This window comes from Homo sapiens, chromosome 6 (assembly GCF_000001405.40).
Source record: "Homo sapiens chromosome 6, GRCh38.p14 Primary Assembly".
Lineage (NCBI taxonomy): Eukaryota > Metazoa > Chordata > Mammalia > Primates > Hominidae > Homo > Homo sapiens.
The window spans coordinates 9,767,726-9,787,814 of NC_000006.12; the positions used below are offsets into that span (position 1 = coordinate 9,767,726).

General features: G+C 36.2%; 1 pseudogene across 1 annotated transcript in view, besides 1 other annotated feature; it reads right to left on the reverse strand.

The window, feature by feature from the left end:
* OFCC1 (orofacial cleft 1 candidate 1 (pseudogene)) overlaps positions 1–20,089 on the reverse strand; it is a 506,631-nt pseudogene that overhangs the window by 62,748 nt on the left and 423,794 nt on the right. The window contains exons 10-11 of the transcript NR_170155.1: positions 8,082–8,164; positions 1,206–1,330 (exon numbers count right to left, since the gene is read on the reverse strand). The product of NR_170155.1 is annotated as an orofacial cleft 1 candidate 1 (pseudogene) (transcript). The remainder of the gene's footprint in view (positions 1–1,205; positions 1,331–8,081; positions 8,165–20,089) is intronic.
* Positions 15,892–15,971: a silencer, noted in NCBI's record as "silent region_16898". NCBI's record gives its function as "represses an Ori minimal core promoter by ATAC-STARR-seq in GM12878 lymphoblastoid cells {active_cell/tissue: GM12878}" and the evidence as "EXISTENCE:reporter gene assay evidence [ECO:0000049][PMID:35858748]".

The window sequence follows — 20,089 nt, forward strand, 5'->3', positions numbered from 1 at the left end:
TTGGGGCTCTGACCCCACAACAGTGTCTAGGGGTGAATGTTTACAGCTGAAGCCCCAGTGGTCATGTGTTACAGAGTGCTCTTTTGGTTTAGCTTCCATAGGCGGCTTGTGTTAACCAGCTCAATTAGACCCTCTACTTTGTCGCAAGGACAGAGGGTTTTCTGTATCCCAGGTTCTTGCCTTGGTGTGCTGGAAGAATCGGATCAAACCTAGGTTTGGAGAATGAATGCAAAGTTTTATTGAGTGGAGGTAGCTCTCAGCAGATGGGGGAAGCCAGAAAGGGATGGAATGGAAAGGATTTCTCTTGGAGAAAGGCAGCCCAGGCTCTCCTCTGACTGCCCCAGCCAAACTGTGTGCCATTCTGCCAGTCAGTGGCCTGCCAGCCTGTTGGTGCCTGTCAGTGTGTCCCTCTCGACATCCAGCCACCCATGTGTTCCTCTGCTGATGTGCTCCTCTCTACGTCCAGCCACCTGTGTGTCAGCCTGCTAGGGTCTTGGGGGTTTTTTTAGGCACAGGATGTTGGTGTGGCAGGCCAGGGTGAAAATGCAACATTTGGGCAGGAAAACAAAAATGCCTGTCCTCACCTAGGTCCATGGGCACAGGCCTGGGGGTGGAGCCCTAGCCGGGAACCACACCCTTCCCCGCTTCTGTATCATTTAAAGGGACCACGCCCTTCCCGTCCCAGCACTTCTCTTCCATATCAGTTATATGTGCGTTCACAGAAACAGATACACCCGTAAACACATCACCAAGTAGAGAGAGCAGTAATTATGACCTGCTTAGATCTTAAGTGAACTAAGGGATCCAGCATGTGTCAAACCCAACTATCCCCCTAATTCCATCTCTGGACTCTGCCCACACCAATTTGTCACCATTTCTTGATTACAATCTTCTCCCCAAGACTTGGCTCAAACTTTTTTTGAGAACCCTTCCCCATTCTCTAGTAAATTTAGCCATCATCTTCTCTGTGTGCGCATGTTGCACTTCGAGCAATTTTTAAAAATACCATCATCAGATCACATTGATGTTTTTAAACATTAATATTCCTCATTGGACTATGAACTTTCTGAAGTCAGAGTACACATTCTATAGCCTACAATAGGAAGGCAATCAATATTTTGAATAAACAAATAATAAAATAATAATTCTTGCTGGAGTCAATAAATTTAAATTTGACAATGGAAAGAAAGGATATAGTGACTCACCAAACAGAAAATCGGTGTTCCTCCAGTTCCTCCAAGTAAGATATGTCCTGTGAATAATCTTCAGCTTCTCCAATTCTCCAAACAGTTGATTTTCCTTTCACAGAATGATCCGTCAGGCTATCTCCCTTGTCAAAGAAATTAACAAATATGAAAAAAATGAAGTGTTTTATTAATAGCAGATTGAAAGTTCACCTAGTTTCAGTGACATTTTCCCCAGAATGACTTATAGAATCATTGATCATAAAGAAGCATCGTTAGGCATGGGTTTTGCATTGAAATTATTGCTTTATGCTCCAGATACCCTCACTAAATTTTTATCTCTGTAATGGCAGAGACCACGACATGTTCACTTTTGTATTATTTCACATGGGACAGCTTATGTAAATGTTGTCAGAATGGAAAGACAAACATAATGATGGTCACAGTATTTGTATTGAATCAGGACTTCTGGGTGCAAGTGGAATAAATGCAACTTGAACTAGCTCTCAACAGAGTAATTTGAAGGTAGGTTTGAACAACAAGTCTATGGAGAAGGCAGAGAGAAGGAAATTCTGCTGAATTTCAAGAACACCGGAATCAAGGACTTGAAGGCTACCAGGACTCTCTTTGCCTCTGTTCTGTGCTCTGGCAGGTTACTTCATTCTAGCATTGTCGCCAATAGCTCCTGAGTCCCCCAGCCTGTGATTCTCAACAGCATCCATTTAAGCACAGGAATTGCATAATGTCTACGGAGCTCCTTACTAGAACTTGAGAAAATTTTGTAACCTGTGATGATGGGTCCAGAAGGCAGACTGAGCCCTGTGGCTCAACTAAGGGTTCTTGGGGCCCTGCTATGGCAGGGAATAGGGAGGGGGAGCAGCTAACCTAGCAGGGCTCTTTCTTCCTCTCCCACCATAAAAGCTCGGGTTTTACCTGTTTTATTTATTGGGGTCTCCTGTTAAGCTTTTACTATAAATGGTACTGACATGGTTGAGATGTTATGTAATCCCCAGTGTTGAAGGTGGGGCATAGTGGGAGGTGCTGGGATCAAGGTGATGGATCCCTCATGGCTGGCTTGGAGCTGTCCTCAAGATAGTGAGTTCTTGTGAGACCTGGTTGGTTAAAAGTGTGTGGCACCTTTCCCATTTCTCTCATGGTCCTGCTCTCACCATTTGATGTGCCAGCTCCCGCTTTGCTTTCTGCCATGACTGCAAGGTTCCTGAGGTCCTCACCAGAAGCACATGCTGCAGCTATGCTGATACAGCCTGCACAAGCATAAGCCAATTAAGCCTCTTTCCTTTATAAATTCCCCAGACTAAGGTATTTCTTTATATCAACGCAAGAATGGCCTAACCCACATGCTGATAAGGAGTTTGAAAATCATTAGTCTAGAGAAGCAGAAAATCAGGCATGACTTGCATTTATAAGACAGTTTTGTTAAAACTCCTCTTCCCTTTTATTTAGACCCTTGTCAAATGTTTTAAATGATTGTTTGTAAGAGGTCAGTTGGTTGAAATTCCTTGATATTAGTCCATACAAGTTTTAGCACAACTTCGTAGTTGGAATAGCTTGAAATCGCAAAATGTTGCTTTGGCTTGGCAGGTTGTTGTAGCCAGGAAAACCTAAGCATGAAACTCGGGTGAATTAGATATGTCATCAAATCCCCAGTGAACTCAACAAGGCTCATTTATTTTACTATGAAATTGATCAATTTGATTACCTTAAGAACAAAATCCAGTTATGACAGATATCAAGTTAAAGTAAGTGCCTTTCATTGTGGTCCTTTTTATCTTTTTTAGCTTCTACAGCATACAAGTATTTTTGAGTAGACTATTCAGTGTTGATATTTTTAATTACTCCATCCCTAAGTAAATTAAAGAGTACCAATATTCTTGAAAAAATATGAGATCTTTGAATTGTCCCAACTAAATATATTTGATTGGCACACCTTGCCAGGTTGCTGATAAAAAGCCTTTGTAACTATTTAAAATTTCAATTTGATGGCATTTCCTTATGAATTGCTTAGATACTTTATTCAATCTCATTCAATAGAAGGTTGAAATGGCTACCAAGAACTATACCATAAATTTGGTTTATCCACCAAAGCTGCTGATTTGATGGAGGTTTTTCATGACACAGTGCATAAATTGCTTTCTTTTTGGTTTCTCTATGAATATCTACATAGTTTCTTCAAACTAAATTCATAGCAGAAACAGGTTATAGTATATTTCTTTGTCTTCCGCAGCACTTAACATGGTTATAAGCATATGGTAGATCTCAAGAAATAGCAATTAGAGGCCATTTTATTAAGTACTCACATTATAATAACAACAGTGGACATTACCTCTAGTTGGCAAGTCATAAAGAAAAACATCTGTGAATACTAAAAACTGCAAACATTTCTTGAACTTTTATATTTCCTTTAAGAAATATCTAAATTAATGCACTAAAAAATCCTTCAGATGGATTTTTGGGAAGACATAAAGTAATGGAAACTAGTTCATCTCCAAAGAACTGATCAAAAGGGGAAAAAATACAAAGAAATAACTTCTGATTCCAAAACAAAAGGTAAGTGTGTGCAGAGAAATTCCCAGGTAAGTATCAGGATGTATGAAGCCTGTTCACATGGAAGCACTTTCATAATCTAAACAGTCTTCCAAGCACAAATGTATATCTTAAATATATGCCTGAAAAACAATGCCTGAGCCATATTGTCAACACTCAGAAGACAGAAAATAGATTTTCTGCCTCATTACAACTATAAATTCTGTCTGTATTCTGAACCCTAAGAGCATCATCATTAATTTTTTTCAACAGCAATGTCTTTAAAGAGATTCATATCTATACTTTAAAATAGAAATTGGTGGTACAAATTTATTCCAAAACATCACATTGTATATGTTGTGTGTATTGTCACTCATATACTGACCTGCCACAGAAATCAAAAGCAAATCTTTAAATATAAGTTGCTAAAACTTAGAATCTGATTTTCAAACTCATAGACTAAAATCTGGTTTGTGAATATTGGTGGTCAAATACAACATCGGTCACAAAACAATGAATGAACATTCTTCCAATGCAATGCAAATTGAGAGGTGAAAGTATTTTAAGGAATTTTGAAAATGTAAAATATCTAGTGCTATAGCAAAAAGGGTAGTCAGGTGGTGATCAGAAGACACATTCAAGTCTTTTTACTACTTTGTGAACTCAGATGGATTATTTAAAGTCCATGAATTGAAGTTTTAAATTTAAAGAATAGAGATAAGACAATCGTGAAGATAAACATATATATTACATTAGAAATATTATACATATATAATTTATATAACATATAATTTACACATATGTATAATTTATGTATGTATATGATTCTTATAGGAGGCGTGAGAATAGCATGTAAAATGCTTTACAATACTAAGGATATAAGTATTATCTGGTACCATATCCTATACAGCATAGGTGATCAATTGAATATTGAACACCCTTCCATTTCTTGTGCAGTTATTATGGCATTTCTTTGCAGCTGCTATGAAGAAAATGTTACAGGAGCCAAGTCTCAAAGTTATCTGAGCCGACGACATACAACCCTATTTAATTGTGTCATTTGGTAGGTAGCAAAGCTAAGGGTTCCTATATTGCCTAGGTTAGAAACTTTAAAATTAGTTCAGGATACAGAGGGTTCTGTCCCTTCGCCATAACTCCTTTCACGAGCCAATCAGTTTACAGAGAAGGATGAGGACCACGAACTGGTGAGAGGATAAGTCTGTGAGTGCAGAGAGAGCTGGCAGTTCACAGGCAGTGATACCAGGGCACTGGAAAAGTGTTACGGTGTCAGCACAGTTAAGCTCCACTTAGCAGCGTTTCTTCTCCAAATCCCTCACAGGGTTTTTGTGTAGGTCTTTGGGGAGAACTGTTCACCTGCCCATCTGGCCAGATGAAGGGCAAGGGGATTGTTTTCATCAAAAGAGAAAGCCTTAGAAGGAGGAAATGGTGAATAAAGGGCTGAATCCAGAGGATTACAGATGCTTTTGAACTGCCCTGGGAAGATCAGAAGTGAGCAGCCGTGGAAGGTTTAATGCTGGCCTAAGTGATGCTCACCATTTTTTAAGAAGGCAGGGGAGGAAAACTTGCGGTGGAAACACTCTGCTAAGAGGCTTGTGTTAATAAGATCACAGAATTGCAAGTCATAGATAACAACAACAAATACCAGGTGTGCCTGAACTATGAAAGCAAATAAATATGACATCATGTTCATTTCCATCAGTGCTATTATCATCATTCAAAAACAATCATAGCTCCAAATTAGATTCAGCCTAAATCCTGAGACCATCCAGCAGGAATACTCTTCCACCTTTCTTTAACTCATGCCTGATGTGTTCACCAGAGAATTTTACAGGACAGGCTTCCATTAATGTACCCAGGGGAAAACAAGTTATCCCTGGCTAGGTAGCTCAGGATATGCTAGAGAGACCCCTCAAGTACTGACTCCCTCGGGTTTCTGTTTCTGCCCACTGGAAGATGACTAGCATCTCTGGCCACTTGGCATCACACAAGTAAACTGTTCTCTGATCATTTACATTTGAAAAACTGATGCTTCACATTTGAAGTGCAACACTAACCTTAGTTTCCCACAGCCATTTTATGAACTGCCTAGGTTAGATTTTTTTTTTTTTGAGTCAGAGTCTCGCTCTGTTGCCCAGGCTGGAGTGCAGTGGTACCATCTTGGCTCACTGTAAGCTCCGCCTCCTGGGTTCATGCCACTCTCCTGCCTCAGCCTCCCGTGTAGCTGGGACTACAGGAGCCCACCACCATGCCCGGCTAATTTTTTGTATTTTTAGTAGAGACGGGGTTTCACTGTGGTCTCGATCTCCTGACCTCATGACTGCCCGCCTCGGCCTCCCAAAGTGCTGGGATTACAGGCGTGAGCCGCTGCGCCCGGCCTAGGTTAGAATTTTTTAAATTTAGTTGAAGATCCCAGTTAATGCCTGATACTATAAGAACATGAGAAAAAATAAAATGCTTAAATTGGAGTGTGGAGTCTCAGACTGAGACTGTTGATTGTCAAGAGGGTGGTATTTCTATGCTTAGAAGGTGGTATAAATGCCCTTACCCGTAACACTTGGTTGCTTATAACTTGGGTGTGTCCTGGCTCTGTCATCCCACAGCACTGACGGGGCTGAGATGCAGTCCCAACATGTACGTGCTGCCTCTGAAAGCCATTCAGCATGAAGACACCTTCCCAATGTGCCTGGACCCCAGGGAAGAACTTACTTTCCCAAGCAATTACTTCATAAGTTTTAGAACAAAATATTTAAAATAAAATCAAAAGAGAACTCCTTGATTGAACATGTGAACTCAGAAAATATGGAAAAGAGTTGTAGTTTTTTAGAGTGAACGTATTCATTCTCACGTTACCTACTTTAGCCTTGCTTCTAATCCCAAAATTTAAGGTCAACGACTGGTATGAGAATTTTACAAAAATAATTAAAAGGCTAGTATTAGGCCCATAATATCGTAGAAGTCCCACAAACATTTTTTTTCATTAGTTTCCCACAGAGTATATGTAAAAGTACCTGAATACATATGTACTAAAAGAATGTAATGTTGCTTCACCCATTTTTCACTTGCTAGAGGATTGTCCCATGGTTTCCATATCCTAGACCTGAAATTAAGATTATAAAAACCAAGAAGTAGAAAACATAACTGGCTAACAAAAGAAAAAGATTCATAACTTATGTTTTTCCATGATTGCTACAAATATGGATTCTAGAGCCAGAGAGTCTAGGTTCAAAACCCAGTTATATACTTTAATTAGCAATATAATTTTGGTTAATTTACTTCATTTTCCCATGCTTCATTTTTTCTCATCTCTAAGTTGGGGATAATGATGGTAATACCAATATCTATCCCATTAATTCACAGTGAGAATAAAATGAGTCATTTTTGTTGTAGACTGAGAAAATTCACCAGCACCTAGTAATGTCCTAATTCTCAGTAAATGGTACCTCTCATTGTTGCAGATTTCACTAAACTTTTTATTTCAGAGCTTTTATCTTTAATACAGCCTGTGATATAGAAGATCTGCAATATAAAAAGTCTGCAACATAGAAACTATCACAATTGTACATGCTGTAAGTAGCCACCTGAACATTAAAATACAGTCATTTATTTGATTAAATGATGGCCCACAATTTAGCGGTTAAAGAAGGAAAGATTTACTTTAATGTCAGTAGTGAAAGTAAGACATGAAAGATGGCTCTGTAGAACTATATGCATTTAGTCAGGAAAGTATAAAATTAAGATAATGATTCAGGTAACTTGTACACAAAGGGGCCAGGTTGTAGGGGTGGGCCGGGTTCTTTTACTTCAATTTTCTAGCAAAGCTAAATTTTTTAAATACTCAAAATTCGAAGTCACCTGGTCTAGGCAGATACAGATTTTTAAAATGTTAAGTATCTAAAAACTGGATCCAGTAATACAAGTAATATTAATTTGGCCAATGTTTTGGAAATCCAGTCTACTTAATTTATATAAGTTTACCAAGATAGTTTCTATACAGACTTCATGGCAGCCAGGATCGTGCCAAATAAATCACTGAAACACAGCACAATCAGCAGATCTATTAATCACTCTGCTCGAACTGAAAAGAGTCTTGTAGACTGATTAATTTAACTAAAGTCTTCAATAGCTTAAAGAAGTCTGATTCCAATCAGAAATCTACTGGCATTGCTGATTTCTCAAACGTCAGCCGCTTTACCACATCCCACACTTCAAAACCTGCTTTGAAGACCAAATTACTTTCTACCTGGAAATACATTTTAAGAAATCATAGTTTATAATCAGGGGCTGCTGTTTTCATGGTCTTTCCAAAGCCAACTTCTACAGCCTTCATTTTACCTGAGAGTGTAGTTCATCGTCTTCTTCTAAGAGATTGGGATCATAGTCCATAGAACAGGGACCGATTTTTTTAGGAATGCTCCCTAGGGTTAAAAACAAAAAAGTGGAAAAAAATATATGACACATTTTCACTTCAGAGGATGTGTAAGCTTACACTGCTGAAATCAAAGAGCTTATATATGCCTTGACAAATGGGGGTAGAAGAAAGAATTCTAAAACGAAGGCCCTAAGTTGTGCTAGGTCGCTGGTTTTAATTCAGCCAGTGTATGAACTTCAAGTAGAACTCTACCCTCAGCCACACCATGGGATGTAATTTACAAGCAGTAGCTGTGTCTGGTCTGCTTTCCTACCTCATCTGGGTAGGATTCTCTATCATCAGCTGTTTCTGGGATCACATTTTCAAGAAAGCCTCCCTGCATCTTGTATCAATGGTCCAATATGAAACTCTGAGATTAGAGAGGTTTGGTCCCTGCCTGCAACCAGTGCTTCTCACTTACTTACTCTCCCAAGAAACTGACTCATAAGTTTTGCAATATAATATTAAAAACAAAAAAGAGAACTCCTTAATTGAACATGTAAGCCCAGAAAATAGAGTTTTAGGTACCTTTGGCATATCGTGTGTGATGTGTTCTATATCAAGGTTTCTCAGCTGCGGCGCTATTGACATATTGGGCTGGATAATTCTGTGTTGTACAGAATTACAGAATTACAGAATTACAACACGGCTGCACCGTGCTTTGTTTAGCAGCATTCCTGGCCTCTACTTATTCAATGCCAGCAGCACCCTCTACCTAACCCCCAACCACTAGTTGTGGCAACCAAAAATGTCTCTAGACTTTGCCAAATGTCTGTTGGGACAAAACATGGCCAGTTGAGTGCACTGTTCTAGATTGCCAACTCCTTAAGAGACAAGGTATCTTTTCACCCTTGCTTTTCCTATAGTGCCTTGCACAGTATTTCTGAACCAATCAGATGTTGCTTAAAGGAAAATAAATAAATAAATGGCAATAGCATTTATAAGCAGGTATTCCTACAGCTTTATGCCTCCAAAGTCATTGTCTTGACCACTCATTTCAGTGAACCCATATGGCAAGGTCTATCCCCAGGGTCTTGTGACTAATATCCTGGCCCAGAAGATGCAGGTGCTTGGAGTGCTTCAGGAAAGCCACAGCTTTGATATGGGGGTTGACCTGACAGATTTTTTTCAAAACAGATAGCATGTGTTGTGAGCAGTCAAAGCCTTGTTTTCTGTCCCCCTTTCTCTCTCCAGGAATTGAATGGTGTCATCCCCTGTCTTTTGAAATTGCCTTTGTAGACTTTTTTTTTTTTTTTTTTTGAGACAGAGTCTTGCTCTGTTGCCCAGGCTGTCAGTGGCACAATGACGTCAGCTCACTGCAACTTCCACCTCCTGGGTTCAAGCAATTCTCCTGCCTCAATCTCCTGAGTTGCTGGGATTACAGGCATGTGCTACCACACCCGGCTAATTTTTTGTATTTTTAGTAGAGAGGGGTTTTGCCATGCTGCTCAGGCTGGTCTTGAACTCCTGAGCTCAGGCAATCCACCCGCCTCGGCCTCCCAAAGCGCTAGGATTACAGGCATGAGCCACAGCACCCGGCCCCTTGTAGACATTTTACAATGAGATTTAAGAAGTGTAAGATTCTGAGGACATAGATTGTATGTCTGCATGCTTCAGAAACCTTTTCCTCCCAAAGGGTGACCCCGCCAGCTTCTTGCTCCCCAGTCTAGGTCTGTGTGGCTCAAGCATTTTGGGAAATGATGTTTCATTGTGTTTCTTGACACTACCTCCAGTGTACTGCGCGAAGATAAAGGCAGATACTGAGAAATATCCTTCTTCATGGAAATTCAGATGAGTCAGGCACCTCTTCTTTGAAACACCTAATACTTCAGTCACATAGATCCCTGGAAGAACTCCCTCTCTTTGGGTCTAAAACAGCATTTGTTGGTAGTGAGATTGTTATGGTCAAAATGACAATAAGAAAGGGAGGAGAAGGAAAAGTAGTCTAGAAAACATTTTTATTTAGGTTTTAAATATATTATTTAAATATAAAATTTTGATAACGGTAATTTATATTTATCATAAATTAATTACATATTAAATTAATCATAATGACTATATATGTTTACATATAAAACATTATATCTAAACATATATAAAACATACATAAACATATTAAAACAAATATACAATTATATGTTGCAGATAATATGTAATTATAATCTAATGATTAATTTAATATTTATATATAATTGGCATATATATTATAATGGATGATTTAATGGTTACATTAAATATTATTTAAATACTACAATATTTATATATTTAGTATACATTTTTAATGTATTATTCTTTTTAAAGCCTTATAATTTAAATTCTTAGTGTATAATTTCTAGCTGGAATAACAAATATAAATATGAAACAATAATAGAATGCATTTTTTAGTATTTTCTAAGAACTCTGTATATATTATGTTGTTTACATCACACACACACACACACACACACACACACACACACACACACACAACTGTTAAAATAGTTACCATTCCCCCATTTGATAAATTTGGAAATTGAGACTCAGATCAAAGAACTTCCCTCAAATTAGACAGCCAATTAGAGGAAAATCTGAAATTTAATCCCAGTTCTTTTTGACCACAAAAAGAACTTAGAAATCTTCCTGCTAGAACTAATTTCTAATTTAACAGGATTTACATCCTTATATGTTAATAAAATGTAGTGATGGTGTGCATGTTAAGGTAATAAAGTCTCTATCGAAGACAGAGACTCCTAAAAGTCTTTAATATTTTCTTGGTTCTCATGTAAAATGTTCTTTGCTTTAAAACAGACCTTCCTATTTATAAAAACATATATAGCAATATATGCATATTAGACAATTATTTATATATGCTATGTAGTAATTGTATGTGTCATAGAATTATGTTACATAAATGTATCTATAATATTTTACCAAAGTATGATCGTATCATATATGTTATTTGCATCCTTCTTTACACATAACATATTGTTTTTTCTGGCTATTAAATATTCCCCAATGTATAATTTTTAATTACTGCATAGTAATACATAATATGGTTTTATTTAACCAGCCCCCTTTGCTTAATATTTATATCATGTTGTACATATTTTACAAAAATTTTATTGTCCTTCTGTGCTTATTTTCTTAAAATGAGTATTCAGGGTCAGGGATACTAAATCAGATGCTCAAGGTTTTTGTCTTTGCTCTATAAAATGAATTATCAAAGTTTATATTGTAACCAGCCAATGCAGGAACGTGTCTAATTATCCACATGCTTGCCAAAACTTGTCTGCTTAGTAGACAAAATAATAAATCTCATTGTTGTTTTAATTTGAAATCCTAGAAATCTAATACATTTGAATATTTTTATGTTTGCTGAGCATTTATGTAGATTCCCTTCCATGCCATTCCCCCTAATTTTTCAGCTGGAATATTTAATATTTTCTTTGTAATTTTTATCTTTCCATATTAAAGATATTAACTCTGCCTAACATGATGGTTCAAAATATTTTTCTTAGTTTGCAGTGTGTCTTTTAATTTCTTTGAGAGCTGTGTGTATATTTATAAGATATAATTTTCAGTCTTATAAACTCCTGTGTATCAATGTTTTCTTTCATTGTTTCTCCTTTTACTTATAAGCTTACAAAACCTTTTCACACGAAATAGTCAAACCATACATACACAAAATATAAATTAAACAAAGAACTTGTGGGGTCCTTTTATGATTTCTTGCGTGCTTTCCCACTGCCAGGTAAGCAGCCATGGCACCTGGGGTCTGAGCCAACACCTCAGGCTCAGACATGCAAAACACAACTGACCCTCATTGCTGTCCGAGGGCACTATCTCTTTTCACGACTTTGCTATTCTCTTTCCACCCAGACCCAAAATTCTCTTGTCTTCCATGAATTTTTCTACTCTATTGTCATCCACATCTAATGCTTTGTCACATTATCTTCTACCTCATTCAGTAGTTTAATGGCCATTTCTTCCTCCCTTTCGCCACAACCCTAGCTTGAGCCTTCATTGCTTCCTACCTCTGCAGGTACAGGCAGATGGGGGATGAGGGGAGAGAAAGAGAAACATTCAACTGAGATAAATTCATGGCATGTGCTTTTTTTTGCAAATTTTAATTTTCCATTCAATAAGAAATTATGGTCATCTCTACAAGTCATAAAATATACATCCACCTTTTTTCTTAAAATGGCCTTTTTCTTCTTGATCCCCCTTCAGGCCTTCCATCCATAGTTCCCTAAATCCTTTTCAATTCACCTGCCCCATATAATCAGACACACACACACACACACACACACACACACACACACAAATGAACATATGGACATGTACATTTATAGAGGTACTTTTTATCACTGCACAAAAAGGAGATTATATATAATCTCTTTTTTACATTACTTATATTATATATAATATAATATTTTTATGTATAAAATAAAATGGATTATATGGGGCAGGTGAATTGAAGAGGAGTTAGGGAACTATGGATGGAAGGCCTGAAGGGGGATCAAGAAGAAAAAGGCCATTTTAAGAAAAAAGGTGGAAATAAATTGATTTTATTATATGTTGCTTGTCAAAATGTATTTTTAAAAGTTTTTTGAAAAGCAGACTAGTAACATCTATTAGCATTTACAATAAGCAAACTATTTGACTCAGGAATTCCACCCAAAAAACTAGAAGCTGGGGAGCTAAGATACAGGAGGACTATTGGGAGTTGACTGCAAACTCCCTTCATACAAGCTCTCACCTTGTCACCCAAACCCTACATGGTATTTAGGGGACAGGGCAAGGGCCACCTCACTCCTTGCAGCTTCTACAAGCTCACATCAGATGAGGATGTCCCTGGCAATTTTGTTACTACACACCCTGCATTTCCCCTGGCTAACTCCAGAAAACCAGAATCCAACTGATATTTTTTTAAATCAAATTGTTGAGTTACAATTAATATACAATAAAATGTACATATTTTAAATGTACAATTAAATGGGTTTTGACAAATGGATAATTCCATGTAACTCCCAACACAAATAAAATCTAAAACATTTTTTGCATCACACTAAAAAGTTTTCCTGTACCCTTTATACACACACACACACACACACACACACACACACTCCTAGCAAACAGTGATCTGATCCCCAGCATGATAAATTAGAATTCTGCTACAATATCTCACATAGATATAATAATGCAGTATTGGCTCTCTTGGTTCTGGCTTCTTTCACTCAGAACAGTAGCTTGAGATTCATCTGTGTTATTGCTTGTATGGGAAGTTCATTACTCTATTGATGAGTAGTATTCCCTTTAATGAATGAACTACAATTTATTGATTCTTCATATTTAAGTCTTTCAAAGTTTTGACTCTGAGTATGGCTGTTATGAAAATTCATATCCAAATACTCTTGTAGGAAAATGTTTTCATTTCTCTTGGGCAAATACATAGGAGTGGAATTGCTGGGTCATTTGATAAATATGCCAGCAAAGGAAAAGAGTTTTCGTTCCACGAATTTTCAATTTCTGCCATTCAGTGTATATTTAGGAGTGTATGTCTTCCTAATGATTCGTCCCCTTTCTTTATCTTTGTCTTGAAGTCTACTATTAGATTTCTAACATTAGATATTAATGTAGCCACACCAGCTTTCTTACATACAGTGTTTCCGTGGCATACATTTTTTAGTCTTTTCACTTTCAACTTATTTCTGTCTTTAAATTTATAGAGCATCTGTTGTAGACAGCATATAGTTGAGTCTTGCTTTTAAATCCACATTAGCAATCCCTGCTTTTTAATTTATTAAATCTTGAATATTTCATGTAATTATTGACATGATTGAGTATGTGTAGACATCTTGCTATTAATTTGTGCTTTGTCTCTTTGGGTTTTTTGTTCTGTTGACCCATTCCTGCATTATTTTGGGTGACTCATGTATGTTTTCAGTCTTTCATCTTGTTTCCTCTATTATTTTCTTGGCTATATTTTTTAGGTTGGTACTGTTTGCTTTAGGACTAATAGCATGCATCCTAAAATTATCCCACAATATTTCAAGTCAATGTTATCGACTGCCACACTTCATACCTGACAGTTCACATTACCCACTTCATACTTCTCCCTACACAGTATACAACAGTATAATTCCAGTTCCCACTCCCTCATCCTTTGAGCAATTGTCATATCTTTTATCTACACATGCTTTATAACCCCATCTTACAATGCCATTTTGTTTAAAAAGTAGATTACATTTTAAGACAATTATTAGAAAACTTAGTGTTTCATATTTACATACATACTGCAGTTCTGATATCCCTCCATTCCCCTGTATAGATCATTTTGTATTATTTTCTTTCAGCTTAAAGAACATTTTTAACTTTTTTATAGTGCTGATCTGCTGGAGAAAAATTATTTCAGCTTTCCTTCATCTGAAAATGTCTTTATTTCACCCTCCACTTTTATAGGATTCTTTTGCTAGATATAGATTTGTGAATTGACATTCTTTGTCCTCATTTTAAAATATATCATTATATTGACTTCTTGTCTCTATTTTTTCTGACAATGTCAACAATTTCTCACATTATTGTTTCCTTGTCTGTAACATGTGTTTTTTCCTTCTTCCTACTTTCAGGATTTTCACTTTAATTTGGATCTTCAGCAGTTGACTATGATATCCTTAAGTATGGCTTCCTTTGTATTTACTCTTCTGGAGTTCACTGAGAGTATTCAAGCTATAAGTCAAAATATTTCCTCAAATTTGGAAAATTTTCAGTCATCACTTTTTAATGTACAGTTTCTCTCATTTTATTATACTTTTCTTTCTAAGATTCCTATTACTGACATATATGTCAAACTATGTGATATTGCCCCATGAGTCTCTGAGTCTCTCTTCATTTTTCTCCCACCTTTTTCTTTTCTTTACTTCAGATTAGTTAATTTCTATTGTTCTGTGTCCAAGCTCACTGATTTTTTCTTCTGCCATTCTAATTTGCTATTAAGCCTATGCAATAAATTTCTCATTTAATTCTTGGATTTTCAGTTCTGTGTTTGGTTACTATTTTATAATTTCCATATTGCTACTGAGACACCCTATCTATTCACTGATGAAGGCCATGAGTGAAAGTATTTTCTTTAAATTTGTGAACATATTTGCAATGGATATTTTAATATTTTTCCATGCTAAATTTAATGTCTGAATCATTTTGGTGTTATTTTTATCCACTTTTTTCCTTGCCTAAGGCTCATATTTTCTCATTTCTTTGCATGTCTAGTAACTGTAGATTGTATAACGGGCATTGGAGAAGTCTCTGGATTCCCTTATCTTCCTCTGAAAGGTGTTGATTTTTTTTTTCTAGCAGGCAGTTCAATTTTTGGCTGATTCCTTTCAACTCCTGTAGTCTTGAATTTACATTTTGTTACAGCAGGTCCAAAAAACAAAAAACAAACCAACCAACCAACCCAAGGGTTTCCAAGCCACGAAGCCACTCTTCCTTGACAAAGCTCAACCTCAAAGCTCTAACTCCTCTGCTTACAGTGTCAGGGCTTGTTTTGGGCTTTCTTTGGGTGGGTATAGAGTAAGCTACTTTAGAGCGTGCTCTTTATGTATAATATGCAGACACTTGGTATCCTAATTTTCTGACCAAACTGATAATGAGGTATTAACATGCCTCTTCTGGTTGCGTTTGAACTCCCCCTCTGTTTGAATTCTAGTATGTCTGTTCTGCTCTCAGGTCTACCAGAGCCTCTAGCAAGTAAGTAGCCATTTAGCAAAGCCTTGGTATGCCTCACTATGGTTAAGTACAGCATAACCCGCGACCAAGAACCCGGGGGGGAGGTTTTTATACTGACATCTTCCTGCTTTCTGTTCTACTTTGCAGATTGCAGCTGTTTCAGCTGCAATGGTTTCCTGAGCTCAGTGGGACTTTCTCATTCTACTGCTCTACAGTCAGGTTATTACACCCAGGGCCACTGTTCACCGCGTAGAGTTTGCTTATCAGTTTCTCTTCTTTCAGGGATCATAGTCACGCCTTTTGATGGCAGTGCTCCAATGCAGTTGCTCCATAAATTCTTTCCACTGTAATGGTTGATTACAGCAGAAGAGCTAGCATGGAACCAACTATTCTACCACAGCTAAAATTGGAGGTTGTAATATTGTTTAATTTTTTAATTAGAAAGTAGAAATGAATATAAGAATTTGTCATGAGCTAACTAGCACCCATGTTATACGCTAGTAATGCAAATATTGGTTAATTATTTTGAAAGTCCACTTTAAATCCACTTTATGTTATGGAACTACGATTCTATTTAACTATCAGATCCTTGTACATTGAGAAAAAGATTAAATGTTTACAAGTAACATTAACCTTCCAATGCCTTGGGAATGTGTCAGCTGGTATCACCCAGAAAAAATAAATGGAAGTCATATTTTTAATAATACATGAGGTGCACAAGGAAAACACTTGTCAAAACTGTATAACATTACAACACCCTATCTCTGTATAAATGCATATGTTTATAAAAGTGTATTTTCCCTGTGTTGTGCTAATCTTTTTTACTTGGCATGTTTTTAATGGTTTTTCCAAATGACCTTTGTAAAATTAATCAAGGATCTGACACTGTCCTTTGGAGAAATATGAAGAGAGAATGCTGCTTATAATAACTTTTGCATTAAAAACCAGTCAGAAAATGACAAAACAGAGAAAACATTAATACTGAAAAAAAAATAAATAAAGCTTGAAAGTGGAGCCAACTGAAAAATGTTGCCATTTTGTCAAAAATATTTTTATGGGTATCTGGAAATCCATTTTCCTTTTATTTTCTATACCATGTCTTTATTACTTGAGATCAGATAGATGTCTCGAGATAATTTTCTATGTAAAATATACCACAATTTTTCAAGAGCTCTAATAGTGAGAAGCATCTCAAATTAAAGATGAATAAAATCTACAGAAAATATGTGTGAAAATATATGAATACAAAGAACCCAGAAAAATGCCTGCAATTAGACAAGATGAAAATTTAAAAAGAAATTAAATTTAGTTGTAATCCATTCCCTATTCTTTTCTTTGAGAAAATTACTACTGAAGTGAGGGTTTCCCCCTCGTAATTTAAATGTTAAGCTGCCAGATGTGTGTCTCATGCTTGAAGAGTCGAAGCTTTGCATTATTTAGCATATTAAGAATCACAGAATTTTAAAAAGGGTTCCTTTATTGCCTCGAGGTTCTAATTAAGTAAACCTTAGCCTGGTACATTTAAAACTTGCAATACATGAGAATTTGCTCTTTTTTCCCATAGTCAAGTCACATCTATATAATAAATATGGAAAATCTTTAAAATGATATAATTTTTCTTTTGCTTGAGGAATTAAACCTATCTATTATTTTAAGAAGTTTTTAATAGAGGCCAGCAATCTAAAAGACAACTAAGGATTCAAAATACTTTCTAATCATTGCAAGTTGCTTTTCTTATTTATACCCATTAATATGTGTTTCACAAAGGCAGTTTCATGCTATCAATCTTTCTTCTTCCTTACTCTCTGCTTCTACCGTGGTCCCAACTGTTCCATTCTCGTGAGACAAAGGCAATTCTAAGAAGCAACAAGAAGGTCATTGTTTTGGGGATCAATATCATGTTTTTCTGTGTTTGTGTGTGTCCGTCTGTGTTAAATCTCTGATCACACAGCACTAATAAGGTGCCCTTTCAGCAGTTTATGGAAAGAGTTTCAGTAGCTAACCTGAAAACTATAATCAAATAGAAGTTCTGGAGGCACACAGCATTCATAAATCATACCCTTAAATACAGTTATTTTTGCCATTTTAGAAAATGTCAAAGGTGTCAACTCTGTCCAAATATACCGCTTAACAGTGACTATTTTAGTAAATTGACTTGAAATGCATTCAGCTAACTGACAGTTAGAAGCACATAATCTAGTTCACAGTACAAATGAACAGTTTAAAGGCCAAAATAAGCACCAAACTACAAATTCTCAATAACTAACATTTTGCAATGACCATGGTTGTAACCACAGAACAAAATCTTAGTATTAAGGAGTTTATCTACATGAGAAACCAATGCTTAACATTTTTTAAATGAAATGTGACTTTTAAAAATCTAGTTTCCAGTTAAGAAAAAATTGTTCTAACCACATTAAAAACTATAGCCAAGTATCAAATTGGGATATTAACAGTGAATAACCTAGAAATTACCCAAATGCAGGTAATGAGTTGATAACATCCTCAGCTAGCTGCACGGTTTGAACCTATGAACAGCTCATGGATGCTGCCAACATAAGTAGATAAATGTTTGTCGTGATGGCAAGAAACAAGAAATTCTCTTTTCATCTTGGGAAGTACAAATGAACAAACTGATCTTCAAAAATGTAACTGTTGACAAACGGCAAGTTTTATAAAAATGGAGCTTAGGTTTGGCCAGGATTATTATTATCTCCAAAGCCTAGGATGTTTACTAAAAGGTAGGATTACCTAATATTTTATGAACTGGTTTTCTAGAAATGTGAAGAAACTTAATGGTTTAATATTTGGGGACATTTTAATATAGTTGGCAGCAGGAATGCAAGAAAACCATCCCTACATTCACTCTGTCCAAACCACTGACTGGCTGAGTGGTTTGGATCCATCTTTCCACATTGGTCCACAGCCCAGGTCACACTTTGGTGCTACTTATGAATTCCAGCAGTTATTTGATTGAGAATAATGCATTATATTTATAAAATATTTTCCAGTTGATAAAAATGTTTGCATATGTTACTTATTTATTTTGATTAACTTTATTGCCTGTAAATATTTTTGTCATCATCCCAATCTAGTAGCAGTGATCTCGGCTCACTGCAAGCTCCGCCTCCCAGGTTCATGCCATTCTCCTGCCTCAGCCTCCCGAGTAGCTGGGACTACAGGGGCCTGCCACTACACCTGGCTAATTTTTTGTATTTTTAGTAGAGACAGGGTTTCACCGTGTTAGCCAGGATGGTCTTGATCTCCTGACCTCGTGATCCACCTGCCTCGGCCTTCCAAAGTGCTGGGATTACAGGCATGAGCCATTGCGCCCGGCCTGCATTCTTAAGACAGAAATAGTTTCCTACATGTATATCTTACCTAATATAATATGATTATAATGTAAGAGCAGGAATATACTTCATTATTCTTCTCAAGAATAATCTTTAAATGTCATCCATTTCTGCCATACTTAAGATTCTATCCCTTTATGAAAGTCAGCTTCTTTTTTTCTGATTCTCAAAAATATTAAACTCTCCATCTTAAGCACAATAAAAGAATGCAGAAATTTTAATATGCTGCTCATGAGCTTTCTTTGGTTATCATCAATTAACACTTTCACTGAACTTAGAACGTCCAAAGCTATTTGGAAAAATACATTATTTTATCCACTACTAAGTTCCTATTGCTAAGAGAAAATTACACATAGAGATAGAGGGAGTCATTTCACCACAGTGAAACAGAGTGTAGACACACGCAATTGTGTGTCTACCATTATCAGAGTCAACTCAGTAAAACAATGATGATTTTGTGAGCACCTACCATGTGTACAAAACTTTACAAAAATGTAATACAAATATTATATGATATAACCTCTGAGGCTTTGTTTCTTCACCGAGAAAGGGGAGATATCAGGCCCTGACCTTATATAATATTAGTAAATTACTAATATTTACTAATATATTATGTAATAATATTAATTTATAATATAGAATAATAGTAATAATTTATTAATATAATAGTAATTTACTAACATTATATAATATAATTATATCATCAATGTTAACAATTAGTAATATATTATAAGTTATTGATACTATACAATATTATAAATTATTAATATTATTGCATATTGTATTAGTAAATATTAGTAATTTACCAATATTTTATAATGTCAGGGCCTGTTATCTCGCCTTTAAAGCTGAGAAACAAAGACTCAGAGATT